The 25,602-nt window shown below is 42.0% G+C and overlaps 2 protein-coding genes across 20 annotated transcripts in view, besides 2 other annotated features; one reads left to right on the top strand and one right to left on the bottom strand.

Moving 5' to 3' along the window:
* Nucleotides 1-12,648, top strand: part of SUPT16H (SPT16 homolog, facilitates chromatin remodeling subunit) — a 32,544-nt gene extending 19,896 nt beyond the window's left edge. For both annotated transcript variants that reach the window (NM_007192.4, XM_047430899.1), the window contains 16 exons: nucleotides 621-686; nucleotides 796-891; nucleotides 975-1,090; nucleotides 1,177-1,330; nucleotides 1,800-1,927; nucleotides 2,911-3,046; nucleotides 3,152-3,278; nucleotides 3,591-3,709; nucleotides 4,515-4,640; nucleotides 5,697-5,809; nucleotides 6,122-6,197; nucleotides 6,758-6,927; nucleotides 9,584-9,713; nucleotides 10,292-10,421; nucleotides 10,559-10,636; nucleotides 11,306-12,648. In NM_007192.4, the coding sequence (NP_009123.1) occupies nucleotides 621-686; nucleotides 796-891; nucleotides 975-1,090; nucleotides 1,177-1,330; nucleotides 1,800-1,927; nucleotides 2,911-3,046; nucleotides 3,152-3,278; nucleotides 3,591-3,709; nucleotides 4,515-4,640; nucleotides 5,697-5,809; nucleotides 6,122-6,197; nucleotides 6,758-6,927; nucleotides 9,584-9,713; nucleotides 10,292-10,421; nucleotides 10,559-10,636; nucleotides 11,306-11,451 (1,911 nt within the window). In that variant the 3' untranslated portion in view covers nucleotides 11,452-12,648. The remainder of the gene's footprint in view (nucleotides 1-620; nucleotides 687-795; nucleotides 892-974; nucleotides 1,091-1,176; nucleotides 1,331-1,799; nucleotides 1,928-2,910; nucleotides 3,047-3,151; nucleotides 3,279-3,590; nucleotides 3,710-4,514; nucleotides 4,641-5,696; nucleotides 5,810-6,121; nucleotides 6,198-6,757; nucleotides 6,928-9,583; nucleotides 9,714-10,291; nucleotides 10,422-10,558; nucleotides 10,637-11,305) is intronic.
* Nucleotides 10,941-12,140: an enhancer, noted in NCBI's record as "BRD4-independent group 4 enhancer chr14:21820143-21821342 (GRCh37/hg19 assembly coordinates)". NCBI's record gives its function as "activates an origin of replication core promoter dependent on BRD2, P300/CBP, MED14 and CDK7 cofactors, and independent of BRD4, by STARR-seq in HCT116 cells {active_cell/tissue: HCT116}" and the evidence as "EXISTENCE:reporter gene assay evidence [ECO:0000049][PMID:35650434]".
* The window catches only part of RPGRIP1 (RPGR interacting protein 1), a 71,219-nt gene continuing 58,439 nt past the window's right edge, over nucleotides 12,823-25,602 (bottom strand). For all 18 annotated transcript variants that reach the window (NM_020366.4, XM_005267879.2, NM_001377948.1 and 15 more), the window contains 4 exons: nucleotides 20,896-21,088; nucleotides 18,927-19,011; nucleotides 15,822-15,952; nucleotides 12,823-13,020 (listed from right to left, as the gene is read on the bottom strand). In NM_020366.4, the coding sequence (NP_065099.3) occupies nucleotides 12,908-13,020; nucleotides 15,822-15,952; nucleotides 18,927-19,011; nucleotides 20,896-21,088 (522 nt within the window). In that variant the 3' untranslated portion in view covers nucleotides 12,823-12,907. The remainder of the gene's footprint in view (nucleotides 13,021-15,821; nucleotides 15,953-18,926; nucleotides 19,012-20,895; nucleotides 21,089-25,602) is intronic.
* Nucleotides 14,773-14,952: a silencer, noted in NCBI's record as "fragment chr14:21817331-21817510 (GRCh37/hg19 assembly coordinates)". NCBI's record gives its function as "represses an EF-1alpha promoter that drives an FKBP-Casp9 reporter gene in an ReSE screen in phorbol 12-myristate 13-acetate-treated (for megakaryocytic differentiation) K562 erythroleukemia cells {active_cell/tissue: K562(+PMA)}" and the evidence as "EXISTENCE:reporter gene assay evidence [ECO:0000049][PMID:32094911]".

Raw genomic sequence — 25,602 nt, 5'->3', positions numbered from 1 at the left:
TTACCTCCATTTACAGATAAATTGAAGGCACAGACAAGTTTAAGTAACTTGCCAAATGTCACTGAGGTAGAAAGCAACTGAGCCAGGCTTCAAATCAAACCTGTATTAGTGATTACCCAATGTTGCCTCCCAAATTGTAGCTCTTGGCTGGGCGCAGTGGCTCACGCGTGTAATCCTAGCACTTTCGGAGGCCAAGGCAGGTGGATCACCTGAGGTCAGGAGTTTGAGACCAGCCTGACCAACATGGTGAATCCCCGGCCCTACTAAAAATACAAAAATTAGCCAGGTGTGGTGGTGCGCGTCTGTAATTCCAGCTACTCGGGAGGCTGAGGCAGGAGAATCACTTGAATCCGGGAGGCGGAGGTTGCAGTGAGCTGAGGTCACGCCATTGCACTCCAGCCTCGTTGACAAGAGTGAAACTCTGTCTCAAAAAAAAGAAAAAGAAAAAAAATTGTAGCTCCTGACGAGAGGTTAGAGGTTAGAAGGATAAAAACTATATTTATTCATTGTCAAACATTTTAGTGTCCAAAAGATTCAAAGCATTGCCCAGCCGTTTACTAGGTTAGAAAATGAAATTGCCTCTTTTAAATAATGTGTCTTCATTCTCCTTTTAATTCTAGGATGGCCCAGCTACTGTTCTCACTTCTGTGAAGAAGAAAGTGAAGAATGTGGGGATTTTCCTAAAGGTAGGAAGAAGATAGATAAGTAGTATAGGAAGTTTAGGATATAAAGAAGTTAAATAATATTGGCTAAAATAATTAAAATTTCATTTTTTGATTATGACTTTTTCCATAGAATGAAGATGAGGAAGAAGAGGAGGAGGAGAAAGATGAGGCAGAGGACCTTTTGGGAAGAGGTTCTCGGGCAGCATTACTTACAGAAAGAACAAGAGTAAGTTTACTATTTTAAATTACATTGATCTCGGCTGTCATATGGCTCACGTGTTGTGATAAATTGGATTTTCCATTCACCAGAATGAAATGACTGCAGAAGAGAAGCGAAGAGCACATCAGAAAGAACTAGCGGCTCAACTCAATGAAGAAGCAAAGAGGCGATTGACTGAACAAAAGGGAGAACAGCAGATTCAGAAGTAAGAGTTTTCACTGAGCAGTGAGATCATCTGAGGGTTCTGTGGGACTGCAGAAATTTCTCAGTTGTTTTTTTATCCCACTCCAGAGCTCGCAAGTCTAATGTGTCCTATAAAAACCCATCTCTGATGCCTAAGGAACCACATATTCGGGAAATGAAGATCTACATCGATAAGAAATATGAGACTGTAATAATGCCCGTGTTTGGCATTGCAACACCGTTTCACATTGCCACAATCAAGGTACTGACATTCAGTGCATCAGGTTTCATCCAAACTGTTGCTTAAAATAGTAATTGTATTTGCCATAAATAATCTGCATTCATCATGTCTCCCACTTTTGACTCCTTCAGACTCTGTTCAGTTACTGACATCCCTCTTGTCTTGTCATTCTCCTTCCTCTTTCAGTTTTTTTCACTTAGTAGAAAGCTAAACTAGTCTAGAAACATAATTTGCCTATCTTTCTTTCAACTTCGTTTAATCATTGTTTAACTTTTAGTTGTATTCATGGTACAAGGTACTTTGAGAATTCAGAGATTTTTTTGGGAAAAGGATACTTCGTTATTAAAAAGATAAATTATGTAAATTTATTAGATTTAGATTAAGGTTAAGAGCGGTCAATTTGTAACTCCTAACTTAATTTTAACATCTCTGTAACTACTAATCTCTAGGAAAGAAATCTGTTTACTTTTTATGCTTTTCCTTTGAACAGAATATAAGTATGTCCGTGGAAGGAGATTATACTTACTTGCGAATCAACTTTTATTGCCCAGGCAGTGCTCTGGGCAGGAATGAAGGCAACATCTTTCCTAACCCTGAAGCGACTTTTGTCAAGGAAATGTGAGTCCCCAAGAAAAGTCATACCCAGATTCATCTTGTCTGGAGTGGTACTCTCAGAAACATTTCATTGTCTGTGCTACATTTTCCCTACCTAGTAAATGTCAAAGCCTTCCTCATTGGTACTTGTTTCGGATCGCCTTCTTGACTTTGTACTATTTTCAGGATGGATCCCAATTTAGAATCTTCTTGAAGATACTATATATTTACTAAACATATTTTGAGCCTGGGTAATATAGTGAGACCTTGTCTCTTCTAAAAAATAATTAACCAGGGGTGGTGGTGTGCACCCGTCATCCAGCTACTGTGGAGGCTGAGGTGAGAGGATTCCTTGAGCCTGGGAGGTTGAGGCTGCAGTGAGCCCTGATCTTGCCTGTACTCCATCCAGCCTGAGCAACAGAACGAGACCTTGTCTCAAAAAAAAAATAATTATGAAAATAAGTGTTAAAAGTAATAAACATATATTGCAGTAGAATCTTCAAATAAGAAAACTGGTGCCACATTGGATTCTATGATTTCATGGTGTGAAATGGGATAATTTGGGGATGTTATACCAGATTTGAAAAATGAAAAAAGAAGGAATGGGCATGCATGGTGGCTCACGCCTGTAATCCCAGCACTTCGGGAGGCAGAGGCAGGCAGATTACATGAGGCCAGGAGTTCAAGACCAGCCTGGTCAACATGGCAAAACCCTGTATCTGCTAAAAATACAAAAACTAGCCGGGCATGGTGGTGTGTACCTGTAATCCCAGGTACTTGGAAGGCTGAGGTGGGAGGATGGCTTGAACCCAGGAGGCGAAGGTTGCAGTGAGCTAAGATTGGGCCACTGCACTCCAGCCTGGGTGACAGAGGCACACCCTGTCTCAAAAAAAAAAAAAAAAAAAAAAAGCAAAGTAGAGATTAAGCTGCTTAGAAGATAAAGTAAATCAGTACAATTTCCCTGGCCTGAAAAAGAAATGTCTATAAATGCTGTTGCTTTTCTGCAGTACATACCGAGCATCAAATATTAAGGCACCCGGAGAACAGACAGTACCAGCCTTGAACCTTCAGAATGCTTTCCGAATTATTAAAGAAGTACAGAAACGTTATAAAACTCGAGAAGCTGAAGAGAAAGAGAAGGAGGTGAGCCTGAACACAGGCAAAACATTCTTACACAAAGAAGGACATGTATTTTTTGGAGACTTGTAAGGATATGTGACAATTCACATTAATTTTCTTCTTGCTTAGGGGATTGTAAAACAAGACTCACTGGTGATCAATCTAAACCGGAGTAATCCGAAACTGAAAGATCTATACATTCGCCCAAATATTGCCCAAAAGAGGATGCAAGGCTCACTGGAGGCCCATGTCAATGGTATGGATGATCTCTCCTGTACCTAGGCTTTCTCTTCAGGGCACATTTGTTAGGAATGACAGATCAGATAATAAAATATGACAAAGAGCCATCCGCCGGTTAGCTCAGTTGGTTAAAGCATGGTGCTAATAAAGTATGACAAGGAAATGCTGGGAGGAATCTACTTACACTGCTGTGTGGCCAGAAGGAAAGGAAAGCTCTATACAGCTGTTGGTGTTTCCTCTGACCCTGTGCAAATCAGCCAGAAGAGTTGCAGTGCCTTTTGGCCTAACTTAATTATACTGCTTGACATTTCTTCATTCTTTTCCCCAGGCTTCCGCTTCACATCTGTTCGAGGAGACAAAGTGGATATTTTGTACAATAATATTAAGCATGCTTTGTTCCAGCCCTGTGATGGAGAAATGATTATTGTCTTGCACTTTCACCTCAAGGTATACCTTTCTACTTAACTAGCTGTCAGCTCTTGGGCAAGACACTTCATTTCACTCAGCTTCTTTCCTATAAAATAGTGATGAAAGGGCTGGGCGCGGTGGCTCATGCCCACAATCCCAGCACTTTGGGAGGCCGAGGTGGGTGGATCACCTGAGGTCGGGAGTTCGACACCAGCCTGACCAACATGATGAAACCCCGTCTCTACTAAAAATACAAAAATTAGCCAGGCGTAGTGGCCAGCGCCTGTAATCCCAGCTACTTGAGAGGCCGAGGCAGGAAAATTGCTTGAACCTGGGAGGCGGAAGTTGCAGTGAGCCGAGATCGCGCCATTGTACTCCAGCCTGGGCGACAGCGTGTGAAAAACAAAAAACAAAAAAGTGATGAAAAAATCACCTCTCACTTAAGAACATTTAAGAGGATTAAATAAAATAATGCCTCTAAAGGCCACAAGGCCTGGCATCTAGAAGGGGCTCATAAGCATGTTTGTTCCTTTGGTGTGTTATATGGTGGCCAGCAAATGTTTTATACGAGATCTCCAGATTTCTCTTTCTAAAATGAAGTTTTGCTTTAGATAAGATTTGTTACCAACATGATTTCCAAAGTTCCTGTAATAAGTAGGAGCACAGCACTTTTTCAAATGTACACTGTTTCCATTCCCAAGCATCATTATTTATGATGACACCAGGGGTGGTTTAATTATTTTTGCATGCATGCTGTGGAGGCCCAAGTTTGGATCACTGCCATTTCCATCACAGATACCTTTGTGTTTCTGACTTCTGTGTTCTTTCTGTTTTATGCCGACAGAATGCCATCATGTTTGGGAAGAAGCGGCACACGGATGTGCAGTTCTACACAGAAGTGGGAGAGATAACCACGGACTTGGGGAAACATCAGCATATGCATGACCGAGATGACCTCTATGCTGAGCAGGTTTGTGAAATTTAGTATTGTATTTGCAGGATAGTGAGGGAGGATGAGGCCAAATCCAAGCTCAGGGATTGTATTTTATAAACAAACTGGGCTGGCGTGGTGACTCGCGCCTGTAATCCCAGCACTTTGGGAGGCCAACATGGGCAGATCACCTGAGGGTCAGGAGTTCGAGACCAGCCTGGCCAATGTGGTGAAACCCTGTCTGTACTAAAAATACATAAATTAGCTGGGCGTGGTGGGTGGTGGTAGTCCCAGCTAGTCGGGAGGCTAAGGCAGGATAATCACTTGAACCCAAGAGGCAGAGGTTGCAGTGAGCTGAGATAGCGCCACTGCACTCCAGCCTGGGCGACAGAGTGAGACTCCATCTCAATAAATAAATAGCCAGGTGCAGTGGCTCACGCCTATAATCCCAGCACTTTGGGAGGCCAACACAGGCAGATCACGAGGTCAGGAGATCAAGACCATCCTGGCTAACACAGTGAAACGCTGTCTCTACTAAAAATACAAAAAAATTAGCCGGGTGTAGTGGCGGGCTCCTGTAGTCCCAGCTACTCGGGAGGCTGAGGCGGGAGAATGGCATGAACCTGGGAGGCAGAGGTTGTGGGCCAAGATCGCGCCACCGCACTCCAGCCTGGGCGACTAGCAAGACTCCATCTCCAAAAATAAATAAATAAATAAATAAACAACCCTGAATCTGTTTGTGCAGAGCAACTCAAGTATCTGCTGAGATAGGGTATTACAAGAGTTTAGGCTTAGGTTGCAGACTCAGCTTGACAGGTAATGGCATGGTGACCTTAAATATTAAAGGTGTATGTACATGTTAGTTTTATAGTTACGAGAGAATGAAGGGCAACGAAAGCACTTCAGGGATGATCTGTGCAGCAAACCACCATGGCACACGTTTACCTGTGTAACAAACCTGCAAATCCTGCCCATGCACTCCTGAACTTAAAAGTTGGAATTTTTATTTTAAAGCACAAAAGCACTTCAGACTTTTTGAGGGGAGGTACTGTTAACAAATGTGATGGCTGTATTTGATATTTTTTTCTTCTACAGATGGAACGAGAAATGAGGCACAAACTGAAAACAGCCTTTAAAAATTTCATTGAGAAAGTAGAGGCTCTAACTAAGGAGGAACTGGAATTTGAAGTGCCTTTTAGGGACTTGGGGTAACCTATCTTATTTTTGGCTTGAAGTTTGACTGGTCTGTCTTTTGGTACAATAAATTATTCTTCCTTTAATAATAATTTAACATATCATATCCTTTTTTCCTATGACTAATAATCTTTGAGACATCCATTTTTTCTTGAAAATGTTTAAGGGTTTAGGTGAGTGGCTAACTCTTAAGAGGCTTCCTCTGGATGAGTCTCCAGTGAGTATGCTGGAGCTGTTTGGAATGGGGAGAGGGAAGAAGTTTGTCTGTTGTGGTAGGAGCAGTCTCTCTCGTGATGAGCTCAGTCTTAAAAGTTTGTCTCTTCCAGATTTAACGGAGCTCCCTATAGGAGTACCTGCCTCCTTCAGCCCACTAGTAGTGCGCTGGTAAATGCTACGGAATGGGTGAGTGTTTCTTACTTTCTTTTAGTAAGAAAATTGTTAGAGAAAATAAAGAAGGATAGGTGTTTTTTATCCTAATTATTGTCATTTTCATTTTTGATATTTACTTAGACTTAAAACTCATTGAACAAATGTTACTTTTAAAGTCTCTTTAGGGCAGGCATAATGGCTCACACCTGTAATCCCAGCACAATTAGAGGCCAAGGTGGGAGGAACACTTGAGGCCAGGAACTCAAGACCAGTCTGGGCAACATAGCAAGAACCTATCTCTCTTTTTTTTATTTTTTATTTTTTAAGATAATGTCTTTTTAAATAGTTTATTTTAAATGGTTCCTTCACATAGTTTCCTTGAGTTTATTCTCCTTGAGGGATGATTTTTGTATCTTGCAGATCCTTTTTCTGTGGCTTCTTAGTATGTTGTACTGCCTCAGTCTTTCAAAAAAAAAACCAAAAAACAGCTTAAGTTATCTTTTATGTAGTGATTTAGATCATGAAAGTTATTTGAAATATTATTGCTTTGGGGGAAATACTTATATGCTAATGATTCAGTTTCTCCCTGACAGCCACCTTTTGTGGTGACATTGGATGAGGTAGAGCTGATCCACTTTGAGCGGGTCCAGTTTCACCTGAAGAACTTTGATATGGTAATCGTCTACAAGGACTACAGCAAGAAAGTGACCATGATCAACGCCATTCCTGTAGCCTCTCTTGACCCCATCAAGGAATGGTTGAAGTAAGTAAATCTGCCATCAGTCTCCCATTTAGCCCATGAGCCCTGTTTTATAGAATTTGAATGTGGTATGTTGTGCATAAAATCTACTGATATACTTAAAGTGAGACTGCCTTTTGGTTGTTACAGACCAGGACTTGAAAACTTGAGATCTATTAGATAACGGAGCTGTTCACTTTTTCTTGAATTCCCAACAATAGCTTGTGCATACTTAACACAAAGAAAATCAAAATCTAAGATCTTTTTTGTTTTCAGTGTTGCCCAGGCTGGTCTCAAACTCCTGGGCTCAAGCGATCCTCCCACGTCGGTCTCCCAACGTACCAGGATTACAGGCACAAGCCACTGCACCCAGTCAATGTAGAGCATATTTACAATAGCTTTTGAAGCATCCTTTTCTGCTCTTCACCCATTATCTTTATATTTTCTACATATTTTGTAGTGGTGGTGGTGGTGGTTGTTTGAGACAGGGTCTCACTGTGTTGCCCAGGCTCAAGTGTAGTGGTGCAGTCACAGCTCACTGCAGCCTCAAACTCTTGGATTCAGGCAACCTTCCTGCATCAGCATCCCAAGTAGCTGGGACTACAGGCATGTGCTACCACACCCAGCTAATTTTTTTTTACTAGAGATGAGGTTATTCTAGGATGCAGTCAAGTTAGTTGGATTCTGTTTGATCTTTCAAGGCTTGTTCTCAAATGTCTATTAGTGTGGATTTAGAACAGCCTTTAAAAGTTTCACTCAAAAACTTCCAAGTAATTGGCCTTACTACGAGGCAATACTCTTCAGAGTCTGCCTGATGCCCTGTGGATTGTGAGATCTCTCTGCTGAAGCTGGTGGAAAGGTGGTGGAAATAAATCCACTGGAACACGATTTATTTCTAGTTCTGTGTGAGATTGGGAGTTGTCTGTCCTACTGCTTTCCAGTGCTTCTTTATGCAGTTCCAGTTTTCTCATGAATGTGTAGATCATCCCTCCACCAAAGACTTGAGGGGACCCCTCTGCAGATCTCTGGAGCTTTCTCTCTGGGAAACTCTTCCTTCCTGTACTCTTCTCCACAAATTCTAGCTGTCCCAGCCTTCCCAAATCCTACTTTGTCTCAGTTCCTGGAGACCATCAGGTTGTGGTGGATTCTCCCTCCCTGCATAGCAGGCTAGGAATTGCCTCTAGACAGAAAACTGGGGCAAATGTTCAATTAACCCTTGTTGTTTCCTTCTTTCAGGGATTATGGTCTTGTGCTGCTTTTTATCCAATGTCTGAAAACTGTTGTTTCATATTTTGTTTTGTAGTTGTTTAAGGTGGGAAAGTAAATCTAGTCATTGTTACTCCATCATGGCTGGAAGCAGAAGTTGCCGTGTATATTGTCTAAAGTGGATTTATGCCAGTGGTTCTCAGGCAGATTTTATGGTTGTTTGTTTTTATCCTTACTATTGTCATTTCTTTGATTTTTTTCTTCTTACCCACTCTTAACTGATTCAGCCCTCCTCAACAGAAGTGAGAAAGAGAAAGTCATTTGAGCATTGTCTAAATACAGGGCACTTTAGGTACTGGGAAAAAAAATTTGTTCCTACCTTCATACAGATTTTGCATCAAATAAACAACACATAGGAAAGCAGTGAAAGGTTGAAGAAGAAAGGCTAGGGCCATTGAAAATTGTCCCTGTTTCTTTCTTTTTTTTTTTTTTTTTTTTTTTATTATTATTATATATTTTTTTGAGACAGAGTCTCACTCTGTTGCCCAGGCTGGAGTGCAGTGGCACGATCTCGGCTCACTGCAACCTCCACCTCCCAGGTTCAAGCGATTCTCCTGCTTCAGCCTCCCAAGTAGCTGGGACTACAGGCGCGTGCTACCATGCCTGGCTAATTTTTTGTATTTTTAGTAGGACGGGGTTTCACCGTGTTAGCCAAGATGGTCTCGATCTCCTGACCTCGTGATCCGCCTGCCTTGGCCTCCCAAAGTGCTGGGATTACAGGCGTGAGCCACCGCACCCGGCTGAAAATTGTCCCTATTTCTTAACTACAATAGTGAAAAACAGAATCGCAGAAGTGGTTATGAGTTAAGACTACTTAGAAATAAGAATGGAATCAGTGACAGAGAGGGAAAAGCATGGGTGAATAGGAGAGAAGACTAAGTGAAGAAGAGGGAAATTGGTGTTTAAGGAAGAAAATGGGAGAGGATGAGCTCAGACTCAGGTGAAGGAGAAAGCTTGTTTCAGTTGGAATGTTGGTCTGTTGTGAGGGCTAGTGCTCTAGGAGATCAAATAGCAGCCATTGGGACATGATCTGGTGGCATAGTGCAAAGAATATCTGCTCCCAGGCAGGGCGCGGTGGCTCACACCTGTAATCCCAGCACTTTGGGAGGCTGAGGCAGGTTATTCACCTGAAGTCAGGAGTTCTAGACCAGCCTGACCAACATGGCAAAACCCTGTCTCTACTAAAAATATAAAAATTAGCCAGGCATGGTGGCATGCGCCTGTAATCCCAGATACTCGGGAGGCTGAGGCAGGAGAATCACTTGAACCTAGGAGGCAGAGGTTGCAGTGAGCGAAGATTGTGCCACTGCACTCCAGCCTGGGCAACAGAGCAAGACTCTGTCTCAAAAAAAGAAGAAAGAATATATGGAAAATACAGAAGATTGATTTGACTTTGTCATGTCATTTCTCTTAGTTCCTGCGACCTGAAATACACAGAAGGAGTACAGTCCCTCAACTGGACTAAAATCATGAAGACCATTGTTGATGACCCTGAGGGCTTCTTCGAACAAGGTGGCTGGTCTTTCCTGGAGCCTGAGGGTGAGGTGCGTGAGTGTGGGGTTTCTTTTCTGGTACACAGTGTTGCCCGCTATCATTTGGTCAGTTAGAATGGAATATGAGTAGTACATAAGGGACTAGGCCATCTGGGAGAAGCTCTAAACACCACTTGATATTATTGTTTCTTCAAATTGATAAATTGATTGGGCAGTGGTAACTAACTCCTGACAAGATTTCTTGGAAATTACAAAAACTTTTCCTCAATGAGTTTCTTAGCATTTAGGGAAAAATCCTTCAGGGCATTTTGCAAAAATTATTTTTTAAAAAATGATCCACTTAACGTTTGTGTGATACGTAAATACAGAAAGTCTTTCTGTTGTTAATTTCCCTGGGTGAGGAAGGCTAACGTGAATTTTTCAGAAATGTAATAATACATAATAATAGTAAAATAATAATTGCACCTGACCACTAATTTTAAACAAGTCATTTTATCTCTTGATCCCTCAGATTATTTTGCTCTTGTTTTCTTCATGTAAATACTGGTATACTATGTGGGCTGAATTAATTCATTAAGTTAATAAGGTAAATGTCAAAAAAAAATCAGTATTATGCTCTAACTCACCAGGGGAGTGATGCTGAAGAAGGGGATTCAGAGTCTGAAATTGAAGATGAGACTTTTAATCCTTCAGAAGATGACTATGAAGAGGAAGAGGAGGACAGTGATGAAGATTATTCATCAGAAGCAGAAGAGTCAGGTTAGTCTTACAGAGCAAAGTTCGTCCTGGCTTCCTAATCTAATGTCATTTCTGAAAACTACTTTTTTTAGACTAAGAACTCTGTCGTTCCATTCTGTTCCCGCATGATGACTAACGCTTAATTAATTTTCTTCCAGACTATTCTAAGGAGTCATTGGGTAGTGAAGAAGAGAGTGGAAAGGATTGGGATGAACTGGAGGAAGAAGCCCGAAAAGGTTTTTAAAAATGTGTTGTTTTTTATTCATTTGTCTACGCACAAATTTCTAACACATTTCAATATTTTGAGGTGTTAGTATTGATGGCGTAATGAAAGTAACAAAAGAACACTATAAAAGTGCTTTGGAGCCACAGATACAACTTCATTGACTGAAGGAGAAAATGAGGTGTGGAATGTGTCCATACTCTCCAGTGGGCAGTGCTCTGCCAAACTGGATGCTGTTTTCATCTGCGCAAGCCCCCATCTTTCCTATAGCCATGATAGCCACATATTCATGTAATACTCAAGAATTAGCCTACTCAGTTTCCAAACCTAAATCCTATAATACTTTAATTTTCTAGGCTTCTTCCAGGTTAGGCATGTCTTTATAATGCTAATCTAGTTACTCTGAAGCCAAACCCCAAACAAACGTTTTAAAGCTTAAAAGGAAATAAATATTAACTGCTGTGTTCCAAGCATTGGGAATAGGTAGTTTTCATAGGTTACCTTATTTAACCCTTAAATAATTCTCCCTTTTGTAAATAAACCAAGGTTCAGAAAGTACTTGCCCAATATTAAAACTTGGGTCTGATTCCAAAGTGTATTCTCTGTACTATCTCATGCTATCCAGTAATATTAGGTACCTAAAGCTTACCTATTGCTAACTAATAATGCCTCTTCTATTTAGCGGACCGAGAAAGTCGTTACGAGGAAGAAGAAGAACAAAGTCGAAGTATGAGCCGGAAGAGGAAGGCATCTGTGCACAGTTCGGGCCGTGGCTCTAACCGTGGTTCCAGACACAGCTCTGCACCCCCCAAGAAAAAGAGGAAGTAACTTCTGAACTTTGGCCCTGAGCTCCATTCTTCCTCCAGCCAACCCCTGAAAATTTTACATGACATAGAAACTGTATTTTTCCTTTCGTTTTCATTTGAAGTTTTGCCATTTGTGTTTATGGGTTTAGGGGGCCATTTGTGTGGACCAATCTACTCGGGGAATTCCAGGCCCACCAGGACACGTGCCAATGGCCCCATTCAGATGGCAAGGGAGGAGGTGTTCTTGAAGACAGGAGGAGGCTCCCGCTGTTAATAAATATTGTTTCATTCTTCTCTCTTCCTGTCACCTTCTGCCAAGACATTGATGGCTTCTGACATCTTATTTGGTGTCTCAAAGCTGTATTTCCAAGACAGTGGTACAAGGTGACCCTTAATTACCCGTATCATGGTTCTTGACCAGCACATTCAATCCTCCAACCTACCCTACTGCCATGACCTTCCGCACATCTCTAAGTTTTATCTTTGCAATACTCAAGGTTCTCGGAAATTTGCTAATGGTTGTGATAAACCATACAGCTTGAGCCAGTGAGGCAGATTGGGCTGGTGCCTTCGTCTGAGTTTTCCTGCTTTCCTGCCTCGTGCAGATTCTGAGGTATATCTGCTGCCTTGGAAGACATAAGAAGCAGTGATACTCCCTGGCTCGGTTATTTTCTCCATACAATGCACACATGGTACAATGATAGAAGGCAAAATTGCCACTGTCTTCTTTTTTTTCTCATATATCTAAGGAAGATATATCAGGTTGTGCCTCATGTACCGCTTCTAGTGAAATGTAGAGGAAGGCTCAAAGGAGTCAACATTTATATCTGGAAGGGACAAGTCATGCCTTGGGCCTAGAATACCCTGATGAGAAAAGAGAAGAGGAAGGGAGGCCATATCTACAACACAGCCTCTCGGCACTGCTGCTCCTTATTTTAACTTTGTCTTGCATTGTCCTGTATTTATCACAGTTTCTGTTGAACAGCTTTTCAAGTATTTGGGGAGTTTATCTTGCCATCCTCCCCTTCTGGTTCTCTGCACCCACCTGTCCCACTGCAGTTCCTTCCGTGCTCTGTGACTTTAAGAGAAGAAGGGGGGAGGGGTCCCGGATTTTATGTTTGTTTGTTTTTTCTCCTTAGCAGTAGGACTTGATATTTTCAATTTTGGAAGAACTAAAAGATGAATAAACTGGGTTTTTTTTGTTGTTTGTTTTTGTAAATTCACCTGTGACCGTTCATTTTCAGTTCTTGAAAGCAAGCCTGCTTCCTGCCTGGTAAAGTGCTAAGGTACTGGAGAAAAATGCCTTTAGCTAGCTAGTTTTACAAATGAAACTTTCATCATTCTAAACTTTCATCATTAGATTGAGAGACACTAGACATCACAGTAAACCAAATTCATGTTATAGCAAGCTAACTTTATAAGAGACTTTTTACTATGGTTCCCTCAGAGACTTTTAGATTGGAATAGCACTTGTTCCTTCATGAAAACAAATCTTCAGTCATCTCCTTGTAAATAGCATGGAGGACAGCAGCTGCTTGAAGGGAAACCTTCAGCCTTCCTATTGGGGTAGCCAGATCTTCAGGGCTAACAACTGTTGGGAAAGGGAAAAAAACAGCATCACTCAGTTGAACACTTTGATACTTGGTATTTGTCAGGTTAGGTACTGGGGATGCTAAATGAATGAAATTACCCATTTCATAAGAGGACTCAATCTAGTGAAGGAGAAAGGAAAATGGTATAGTGTATAGGTGCTATATAATAAATGGAAGCACAAGTTGCTTTGGGGACATAACGAGGCATCTGCACCAGAATGGACAAATTGGAAAGGATTTCTGGAGAAATCACCAGAAAAGTCTTAAGTGGATTTTCCCTGTGCACATACAAATGGCATGGAGGTCAGGAAGAACATAGCATGTTTAGGAATGGGGATAGGAGTGAGTTGGAAAATAGCCCACAAAGATAACGTCACTTGCCTTATGCCAGGCACTACCCTAAGCCCCTTAATCCCTTATTTAAGTGCTTCCTTAATCTTCACAACTCAGTAAGATAGAGACTGCTGTTATTCCCGTTTTATAGATGAGGAAAAAGACTAAGGATCACAGTTGGAAAGATACTAGAGGAATATAATTAGAATCTTATCTAACATTTGAACTTTGTAAACCTTAGGGTCTGAGGAGTATTCCTCAAAAAATGTTTATAATGATCAGTAAGAATAATTTTATACCATGATTCATTAAACAATACATAAAACAAGTTTCACAAGACAATATGTGCTATGTACTCTTAATTCCTGTTTTCTTTTTTTTTTTTTTTTTTTTGGAGACAGAGTCTTGTTCTGTCACCCAGGCTGGAGTGCGGTGACTTGATCTCAGCTCACTGCAACCTCCGCCTCCCGGGTTCAAGCAATTCTGCCTCATCCTTCCGAGTAGCTGGGATTACAGGTGTCCGCCGCCATGCCTGGCTAATTTTTTTTGTATTTTTAGTAGAGATGGGGTTTCACCATATTGGCCAGGCTGGTCTCGAACTCCTGACCTCAGGTGATCCGCCCATCTCGGCATCCCAAAGTGCTGGGATTACAGGCATGAGCCACCTCGCCTGGCCTTTAATTCCTGTTTTCTTTCCCACAGTTTTGGTTTGCATTTTTCAAATTTCCTTGTGATTTACTAATTCAGTTTCACATCCACTAATGGGGTGTGTGTCTGGAAGTTTGAAAAACATTGATCTAGTGGATAATCTTAAGTGTCTGAAGGTCCTAGCAGATAAGATAGGTGACATCCCAGCTATGTAAGGTAATGGGAACAGTGAAGACTGGACAGCGCAGTCCCAACTAAAGGTACTCAAATACAAATGTTTTTAAAACATGCTGATCTATAGCAAACTGTAAAAGGATTTAAGAAGAAGGCAGTGATCAAATGTATTATGTATTTACTATAGTAGATGGAAATGGGGTAGAAGAAACCGGTGGCAGGAAGACCAGTTTAGAAATTATATGGCTGGGCGCGGTGGCTCACGCCTGTAATCCCAGCACTTTGGGAGGCTGAGTGGAGGGCGAATCACATGAGGTTGGGAGTTCGAGACCAGCCTGACCAACATGAAGAAACCCCATCTCTACTAAATATACAAAATTAGCTGGGCGTGGTGGTTCATGCCTGTAATCCCAGCTACTAGGGAGGCTGAGGCAGGAAAATCGCTTGATTAAGAAAGAGGCAGAGGTTGTGGTGAGCTGAGATCGGTCCATTGCACTCCAGCCTGGGCAACAAGAGCAAGACTCCATCTCAAAAAAAAAAAAAAAAAAGAAAGAAATTATAGTAATTATATTTAAGGAGGCCGGGCGCAGTGGTTTATGCCTGTAATGCCAACACTTTGGGAGGCAAAAGAGGGTGGATTGCTTGAGTCCAAGAGTTCGAGACCAGCCTGGGCAACATGGTGAAAGCCCGTCTCTACTAAAAATACAAAAATTAGCTGGCGTGGTGGCAGGTGCCTGTAGTCCCAGCTACCCAGGAGGTTGAGGCAGGAGAATCGCTTTAACCTGGGAGGTGGAGGTTGCAGTGAGCCGAGATCACACCACTGCACTCCAGCCTGGGCAACAGAGAGAGACTCTGTCTCAAAAAAAAAAAAAAAAAAAATTGTAGTAAGGAGAGCATAGTCAATTCACAAGTAGAATGGATAAGACTTAATGACCAGTGAATGTGAGGAAAGAGGAGACAGTTAATGTCTTTTTAAGAGACAAGATGGGCCAGGTGCAGTGGCTCACACCTGCAATCCCAGCACTTTGGGAGGCCAAGGCAAGCAGATCACTTGAGGTCAGGAGTTCGAGACCAGTCTGGCCAACATGGTAAAACACGGTCTCTACTAAAAATACAAAAATTAGCCAGGCATGGTGGCACACCATGGAAGCTGAGGCAGGAAGCTGAGGCAGGAGAACAGCTGGAACCTGGGAGGCAGAGGTTGCAGTGAGCTGAGATCACACCACTGCACTCCAGCCTGGGCGACAGAGTGAGGCTCCATCTCAAAAAAAAAAAAAAAAAAAAGACTGGATGCATGATAACATAAAGAATGGGCATCAGCTGCCTATACGAAAATGCTCAAGAGAGGTCCAAAATTCTGATGTATAAATTTGAAATGAAAATAACTTGTCTTTTTAAAAATCTCCTTTTCAAACATTGTAGATTCAAAATCAATTCTAGTTGTAATCAGGTATATGGGGGTAAAAATACACAACTGACTACTTTAATGTTGGATCCAGAAATAAATACAGTTGTAGGGATAAGATTTCAATCCACTTTGTGTCTTATCAACTTCATAGTAATAATTATGTATTGAAGATAAAATATATTCACTATTAGGATGATTTCCTTGGAAATAATTAGAACTGAAAAAAAAATGACTCACTGTCTAGCTCTTGCTCTAGAATATCTCTTCCTGACTCCAGGATCTGCCACAGTTGAAGATATGCATATCCCACTTCTTCACATTCTTTCTTTTCTTCATCCAGAGGATCACTTACCACTGTAAACTTTAAACTAAAAAGAAATTGCATTTAATTCAGCACTGTTGATACTCTTAATGCTTCAAAAATAAAATAAGGATAAAAGTAATCATAAACAATACAACGTCTTCTCTGAATCACTTTTCCCTTGCCTCCATTTTACAAAATGACAATAAGCAAAAAAGTCAGGAATTGGTATAATTTAAGCAGTAACAGTCCTTTTAGAAGAGGGAACATCATGGGATGTGCCCATGAGTTCAAGACCAGCCTGGGTAACATAGGAACACCCCGTCTCTACAAAAAAAATAAAAAATTAGCCGGGCATGGTGGCACACACCTATAGTCCCAGCTACTTGGAAGGCTGAGGTGAGATCACTTGAGCCCAGGAGGTCGAGGATGCAGTGGGCTGTGTTCATGCCACTGCACTTCAACCTGGGTGACAGAACGAGACCCAGTCTCTAAAAGAAAAAAGAAAAAGAAACCCTGTACTGATTAAGCAGTCACTCCCCATTCTCCTTCCCTAGCTCCTGAACCACTAATCTACTTTCTATCTCTCTGGATTTGCCTATTCTTGATTTTTCATATTTTTATTAATTTTTAAAAGCAAATATTGGTAGCTAATACAGAGTGCCAGGAATAGGACTAAAAATTCAAGCTTTTAAAAGCACAGCTAAATATGATTAAACTGAAACAAAGGAATTACTTTAAAGGGATCCATTCTCAGCCCATTAGGCAATATTCATTTGTAACTATGTTTCTATGTCATTATTGAGAACTTCAACAATGCGAAGTGATAATGCTGACTCCCTCATCCCAATTTGCATAGGAAAGGGATGATAACTAGCATTACAATGTGCCGGGCACAATACCAAGTGCTTTATGTAAACTATATTAGCTCAATTTTATTCTCACAAGAGCCTTCAAATTAAGTAATATCAAAAAGATCAAAGAGCTAGTAAGTCAAAGAGTCTGGAATAAAAACAAGGTTGGTCTGATTACAAAGCCTGCTCTGTCTGCTAGACCATACTGGCAAAAAGAAAGCCAAAGGTAATACCAATCGAATCTAAAATTGAGTAGAAAATGATTATCACTGTAAGGGAATAAAGGAAGAGAGAGTTCTGGAAATGCTGGGGAAAAAAAAGTGAAAGCTAAATTTGACATTAGCACAGAAAGGAAAGAACCAAATCACTTTCCATGTCCAAAAGTTCTCTGTAAGCTTACATCTGTTTAAGCCCACAGTGATGCTGAAGTCAGAGTCACTGTTTATTTCATCTGGCTCCTTTTTCAGTTCTTTCTATGACTAACCAAAGACAAAGTAAAAGCAGATGAAACAAAAGTATTGGGCCTTTCAAAAAGTAATTAAAACACCAGGTCGGGCACAGTGGCTCATGCCTATAATCCCAGCACTTTGGGAGGCAGGGCAGGAGGACTGCTTCAGCCCAGGAGCTGAAAGACCAGCTGGGCAACATAGTGAGATCCTGTCTCTAAAACAAACAAACAAAAAAATTAAAAATAAGATAAAACACCAGCCCCATATTATTTCTTATGCACACACATGCACAGGCGGTATGGATAACAGATTTCAAAAACAAAAACCATATGCCTATTTAAATTTGAATTTCAGCTAAACAACAAATAACTTTTTTTTTTCCTTAGAGGCAGAGTCTGCTTTGTCACCCAGGTTGGAGTGCAGTGGCACAATCTTAGCTCACTGCAACCTCCGCCTCCCAAATTCAAATGATTCTCATGCCTCAGCCTCCTGAGTAGCTAGAATTACCAGCATGTGCCACCATGCCTAGCTGATTTTTTTGTGTTTTTAGTAGAGATGGGGTTTCACCATGTCGGCCAGGCTGGTCTCAAACTCCTGGCCTCAAGTGATCTGCCCGCCTCAGCCTCCCAAAGTGCTGGGATTACAGATGTGAGCCACTGCACCCGACCAAATAATTTTTTTTTGGGTATGTCCCACATTTTATCTGGAAACTCTGAAAGGAGGCCTTCTTCAGATTATTGGAATAATAAGGACAACCAGCTTTCCTAAAACTTTAAAGGAGATCTAAAATTCACTTAGTTATGTCAACATCAAAAAATTCCTGTTGACCAGGTGTGGTCACTCACGCCTGTAATCCCAACACTTTGGGAGTCTGAGGCAGAAGGATCACCTGGGGTTGGGATCAGCCTGGCCAACATGGCAAAACCCTGTCTCTACTAAAAATACAAAAATTAGCCAGGCAAGTGGCGTGCACCTGTCATCCCAGCTACTTGGGAGGCTCAGGCAGAAGAATCGCTTGAACCCAGGAGGTGGAGGTTGCAGTGAGCCAAGATTGTACCACTGCACTCCAGCCTGGACAACAGAGTGAGACACTGTCTCAAAAAAAAGAAGAATGTCAACACTTTTTGTTATTCCATTTGGGCATTGTCAATATTCAAGTAAACTGCTGCTACAAAAAAAGGGCCCATCAGGCTGGCATGGGTGAGAAATGAACTAAACCTATAAGACTATGGGCTGGACACGGTGGCTCACGCCTGTAATCCCAGCACTCTGGGAGGCCGAGGAGGGCAGATCGCTTGAGCGCAGGAGTTCAAGACCAGACATGAGCAACACGGCAAAACCCTATCTCTACTACAAACACAAAAAATTAGCCAGGCATGGTGGCACATGCCTATAACCCTAGCTACTTGGGAGGCAGAGGCACAAGAATCCCTTGAGCCTGGGGAGGTGGAGGTTGCAGTGAGCCAAGATCGCACCACTGCACTCTAGCCTGGACGACAGAGTGAGACCCTGTCTCGAAAATAAATAAATAAATAAATAAATAAATAACCTATAAGATTAGGTAATGGATTAGGTAGTCACAAATATAAATTATACTCAAGTACATAGGAAATTCATTAAGAGTAAATTAACTCAAAAAAGTTATTAAAATATTCAGCATCAGCACAAAACCAAACTCAAACTTTTGAATTTCTGTCTCAATATCTCCTTTGTTTCAAAGTGGAAAGCAGATGCTTACTGTCCTTGATCAGGATCTTGTCCATTCAGCATGTCGAACAGAAACCGCCTTCGGCCTTGCTGCTCCTGTGGGTCCAGGTCTATTACTGTATTAAGGGTAAGAGAAAAAAGCAAAGAATCATATACTGTTGCAGTGTGAGCCCCAAGACTTTCATTAGTGGTATTCATGGTAGTTTTCATAAAAAGATTAGACTCCTTGCCTGGATCTAGAATAACATGGACCAACTGCTTTGAAAATCATTTGTGTGTGTGTGTGTGTGACAGATTCTTACTGTGTCAGGCTAGAGTGCAGTGGCGTGATCTTGGTTCACCGCAGTCTCCATCTCCCAAGTTCAAGCGATTCTCCTGCCTCAGCCTCCCGAGTAGTTGGGATTACAGGTGCACCCCACCATGCCCGGCTAATTTTTGTATTTTTAGTAGAGACAGGGTTTTGCCACGTTGGCCAGGCTGGTCTCCAACTTCTGACCTCAAGTAATCTGCCCGCCTTGGCTTCCCAAAGTGCTGGGATTACAGGCATGAGCCACTGCACCCAGGCTCCTTCGAAATTCTGAATGAAAAAGATTTCCACACTTGAATCAAATATGAGGGTAGGAAAAAAAGATTTCATGCACGACTTTCTCAAATTTTCACTTGTGATATGCCCTTTCTTTAAAAACTACTGAAAATATGATCCATTAAAATAAGAAAATAAATTAGAGGATAACCAGGAGATAAGAAATCTGGTATAGGAGAGAATTTGATCGTATTCTCCATGAGCAGCAGTAATAATGAAACAGTGGGCTAGAGCAGAACAAGAGGATGGAGAGAGGTCTTCAGGAAAAAAATAGATGAGTAGATAATTTGACAGGTTTGATTATTTCAAAATTTGGGAAGACTGTTGAAGGACACGAAAATAATTACAATATGTATAATGAAAATAAGGCGAATGAAAAATTGCTGCAAAAAATACGTGTAAAGAAATATAATCATTGCATACTACTTGGTTCTGCAAGAATTAATATTTACATATCCATAATAACAGAACCAATTTAAATGGATTTAAATAAAAATTATGATACAATTACGATGGGAAGGAAAGGGACATGAGTGTAGTGCAAAAGAGCTAACTTTTAAGGTCCGAGATAGGAAGTCTAAAGCCGGTGAATCAGGAGATTGCAATAGAAATGTTACTCAGAAGCCAGGTATGGTGGCTCACGCCTGTAATTCCAGCTACTCAGGAGGCTGAGGCAGGAGAATCATTTGAGTCCAGGAGTTTGAAACCAGCCTGAGCAACATGTTCAGACTCCATCTCAAAAAAAAAAAAAAAAAAAAAAAAAAAAAAAAAAAAAAAAACAGGAAAAGAGGAAGAACAAAAATCAATACTCAGAAATATGATGGAAGTAAATAACAGAAGAAATGGCTGAGATAGGATGGGCTTGGTGGCTCACGCCTATAATCCCAGCACTTTGGGAGGCCAAGGCAGGCAGATCACTTGAGGTCAGGAGTTTGAGACCAGCCTGGCCAAAATGGTGAAACCCCGCCTCTACTAAAAACACAAAAAACTAGCCAGGCACGGTGGCGCACACCTGCAATCCCAGCTACTTGGGAGGCTGAGTCACGTGAATCGCTTGAATCTCGGAGTCAGAGGTGGCAGTGAGCCAAGATCACACCACTGCATTCTAGCCTGGGCAACAGAGCGAGACTCCACCTCAAAAAGTAAAAATAAATATAGCTGAAATGTGGGAAGCCGTGGATTGAGGAAGGGTGGGAACAGGCGAAGTGATCTGTGAAGAGCTGGGACAAAGGCCTGCTTCATGTAAAATGTTTAGCCCCATTCGATGTTTTTAAACCACATGCACACAACACTTTGAACAATAAAATAATAAAGTGAAATGGCTGGATTCACCCCACAAAAATCCAGAGTAATTCTGACCCTCAGTCTCAATGTTCATCAGACTTCCTCACCCCAGTAACCACACAGGATGCCTCACCCTTGCTAAAGTGAAAGTGGATTTCTTCTCCTGCCCTAGGCTTCCTTAGGGACACTGGAGTCTCTGTCTCCGACAAGGGTAGGTCGTAGAATTTGTACTCCACATACACCTGTTTTATGTTCTCATCAGACATCACTTCTGCCTCTGGGTAGAAGGCCAGGGAGACAATTTCAATGCACATCTTCTCTGAATCCTGATAAGGAAAATGTTTATTTAGTTCCTAAAGGTTAGTGAGGCTCCAAGTGCTTATACGCCATCCAATTAACCCATTACGGTACTCTCTAGAAATCAACCATAGGTATAATCTATCTACTATATTATTCCCTGAGAATCCTTTTATAGGTAAAACTGGCATCAAAAGACAACTTGACTTAATTGCCATAGTTAATTGATAGGAAATTTATAAAGAGAACCCAGCTCTTCTCTCTCACAGTCCAGTGGATCATTTCTCCAGGACAGCCTTTCTCAGTCATCTCCACATATAGAAAGAATAAAAAAAAATGTCTGATTCGGAGCGGCGGGGAGGGTGGATGATGGGAGGTTGCTTGGTGGGAACAATGTGCGTCGCTCCAGGCTTCACCACAGTGGAATATATAAATGCAGCAAAACTGTGCTTGTACCCGATGATTATATACAAATAAATAAATTTCTAAACAGCTATTTCTCAACTTTTTTTTTTTTTTTTGAGACAGAGTCTTGCTTTGTTGCCCAGGCTGGAGGGCAGTTGTGTGATCATGGTTCACTGCAGCTTTGACATCCTGATCTCAAGCAGTCTTCCCACCTTAGTCACCCAAGTAGCTAGGACCACAGGTACACCACCACATAGGGACAATTATTTTTATTTTTTTAATAGAGATATGGTCTTGCTATGTTGCCCACGATGGTCTAGAACTCCTGGACTCAAGCAATCTGTCCACCTCAGCCTCCCAAAGTGGCTGAGATGAGAGGCATGAACCACTGCAACTGGCCACAGTGTTCTTCATGAAAACCAAGCTAGTATTTTCCTGAGGTTAGGACCTAAAAGACCTCCTGACTGATACTGGAGATTCAGTAGCTGCTTCAGCCACTATAGCAAAGAGCTGCCCAGGGCTTCCCATGCCCACTCAAGTGCATGCCACTGAGGAGGCCACCAGACCACCCTGCCCTCCCACAGGAACTCCAGTCTTTTTTTTTTTTTTTGAGACAGTGTCTCCCTCTGTCGCCCAGGCTGGAGTGCAGTGGCACGATCTCGGCTCACAGCAAGCTCTTCTTCCCGGGTTCCCGCCATTCTCCTGCCTCAGCCTCCCGAGTAGCTGGGACTACAGGCACCCGCCACCACACCCGGCTAATTTTTTGTATTTTTAGTAGAGACGGGGTTTAGTTAGCCAGGATGGTCTCGATCTCCTGACCTCGTGATCCACCCGCCTCGGCCTCCCAAAGTGCTGGGATTACAGTCGTGAGCCGCCGCGCCTGGCCAGGAACTCCAATATTTTCAATCCCACTTCACAGTCGCTGCCATCACCCTGTCCTTTCTTTTAATTGTCCCTGTGTCCATGTTGGCATCAGGGATACCAGGAGGAAGTTTCCAGAAGTACACCAAGGCCAACAGAAGTCTCCTCCTTCCACAGTGTGGCAGGCAAGTCAGTATCGTGACACCAGTAATGAGTCAATCCAGGATGGTTCCCTACCAGCCATAGCGCTCTCCCCTCTATCTGTGAGTGCCCTCCTGTATGCTTCTTTTCACTAGCTGGCCAGGCCAATGCCCTTACTTCTCCAAAGACCGGCTCTTACCCCATCTTTTCTTCTCTTAGAAAGCAAGTGGAGCTCCTGTGCCTGCCCCTAAGAAATTCAGCAGGCAAGATCTCTCAATGATTCTGCATCAGAATCATCTGGGGTGCTTCTTAAAAATGAAGATATTTGGCGGGGTGCAGAGGCTCACACCTGTAATACCAGCATTTTGGGAGGCCGAGGCGGGCAGTTGACCTGAGGTCAGGAGTTCAAAACCAGCCTGGCCAACATGGTGAAACCGCATCTCTATTAAAAATACAAAAATTAGCCAGGCATGGTGGCTCATGCCTGTAATCCCAGCTACTCGGGAGGCTGACATGAGAATCACTTGAACCTAGGAGGTGGAGGTTGCAGTGCCACTGCACTCCAGCCTGGGCAACAGAGTGAGACTGGGTCTCAAAAAACAAACAAACAAACAAAAAAACGATATTTGATGTTTTTCTCTTAATAACCCTCCCATAACATCCAACTCTCCCAAACATCAAGAAAACTATTGACTATACAGTGTTTTGAAAAATCTGGTTTTTTTTTGACACTTTGATGGGTCAGATTAGCGGGTTTCACTAGCTTTTTAAAAAAGAAACAATAGGATAGGATAGACAGGATAAGACACTATCTAGTGGAATAGGAGAATGCATGGCAAATGTTAATAGTAAGCCTGGTTTCTTGAAACTTGTTCTTTTATAAGAGTATTGGATACTGCAGAAATGTATTTCTCATAGTGATTGCTATAAAAAATGTATAAAAGCCTCTGTGTTATATCAGACTGTCTAGAGTGGCTCCTGGGAATCTGTATTTATTTATTTAGAGATGGAGTCTAGCACTGTTGCCCAGGCTGGAGTGCAACGGTGCGACGTCGGCTCACTGCAACCTCTGACTCCCAGGTTCAAGCGATTCTCCTGCCCCAGCCTCCTGAGTAGCTGGGACTACAGGCATGTGCCACCATGCCCGACTAATTTTTATATTTTCAGTAGAGACGGGGTTTCACCATGTTGCCCAGGCTGGTCTCGAACTCCTGGCCTCAAGTGATCCACCCACCTCGGCCTCCCAAAGTGTTGGGACTACAGGCGTGAGCCATTGCGCCCGGCCCCATTAAAGTCTCTACCGAGTATCTAGTGCCTGGCACAATGCCTGGCATAATGTCTGGCACACAGTATACACTCAGTAAAACTGTATTAAATATTCCCTTGAGCAAGCTCTTCTCCCTAGACTTCACTGTCCTCCTTTGAAAGGGGGTGGGGGAATAATAATATACATGTGTGCAAGAGAAACTTTAATTTTCTTTTGATTTCCCACTCCTCAGGTAAATCAAACTCTTTCCTACCTCAGGGCCTTTACACTTACCAATTCCTTTGCCTGAGATGAGTACAGTCTACCCAGTACATGGGTAGCTCTTCCCTTCTCGTTCTTCAGATTTCAGTTCAAACGTCCCCTCCTCAGAGAAATCTTTCCTCAACACCTATCCTAGTTCAACTCCTCGCATTGCTATTATATCGCCCTATTTATTTCCTTCATAGTACTTAGAATCTCAGAGCTATCTGCTTTACTTATTTGCTCACTGATGTACATATTTTCCCTCAGTAGTATGTAAGATTCAAGAGAGAAGAGACCAAGTCTGTCTTATCCACCATTTTGTGCCCACAGAGCCCGGCAGTTACTAAAACAGGCACTTCATAATTACTTGAAGGAAAGAATAACTCATAAGGCTGCTGTGAAGCCCGAGAGAGTCATGAATATCAAGCACTTGGCACACAGTATGAAATCTCAATCATTACCCATTAGAGTTCTGTCTAAACGAAAGGTCATGTATTATTTTAATGCAATATCGATCAGCAGTTAAGACGAAGGAACTATAAAAAGCTAAATATATCGACATGGATAGAACCCCAAAACATTATTGATTGAAAAATACATGTTTCATAACATTACCAAAAAAGAAGAAAAAAGAGTAAAACTAAATAAACATTACATAGCACCTTCCTGTACATCTAAAATTATTTTTCTTTTTTTTCTTTTTGAGACCGAGTTTCGCTCTGTCACCAGGCTGGAGTGCAGGGGAACCATCTCGGCTCACTGCAACCTCCGACTCCTTGGTTCAAACCATTCTCCTTTCTCCGCCTTTCGAGTAGCCAGGATTACAAGCACGCGCCACCACGCCCAGCTAATTTTTGTATTTTTAGTAGAGACGGGGTTTCACCATGTTGGCCAGGATGGACTCGATCTCCTGACCTCATGATCAGCCCACCTCGGCCTCCCAAAGTGCTAGAATTACAGGCGTGAGCCACCACACCTGCCTAGTTAAAAAAACAAAACAAAACAATTTTTTGAGATAGAGTCTTGCTCTGTCGCCCAGGCTGGAGTGCAGTGGTGCAATCTTGGCTCACTGCAACCTCCACCTCCTGGGCTCAAGCGATTCTCCTGCCTCAACCTCCTGAGTAGCTGGGATTACAGGCACCCGTCATCACGCCCGGCTAATTTTTGTATTTTTGTAGACAGGGTTTCACCATGTTGGCCAGGCTTGTCTCGAACTCCTGACCTCAGGTGATCCGCCCGCCTCGACCTCCCAAAGTGCTGGGATTACAGGCGTGAGCCACCACACCCAGCAAATTTTTTAAACTTGCTAATAATCCTGGGACAATAATCAGAAGTCCATATTCATGCAGACTACATCAAGTTTATTCTGGTAACAATGGTGAAATGGGAGGATGAATAAGATTAAAATTTGATCCAAGTACACACAGATGTTTTATTCATTCATATTAGGTTGGACTATACAGAACTGACAATTGTCAACCATTTTTTATCTATGAGTATGACAATATATGGTTCAATCTAATATTTTTTGTTGGATTCAGAATACTTTCTTTACATGAGCTAATTCCATTATGTAATTTTATTGGGGCTGAACAGCAAAGAAAGTATGCAATTAGTAATATTAAC

The sequence above is a fragment of the Homo sapiens genome, chromosome 14, assembly GCF_000001405.40.
Source record: "Homo sapiens chromosome 14, GRCh38.p14 Primary Assembly".
Lineage (NCBI taxonomy): Eukaryota > Metazoa > Chordata > Mammalia > Primates > Hominidae > Homo > Homo sapiens.
This window is presented reverse-complemented; position numbering and strand designations above follow the sequence as displayed.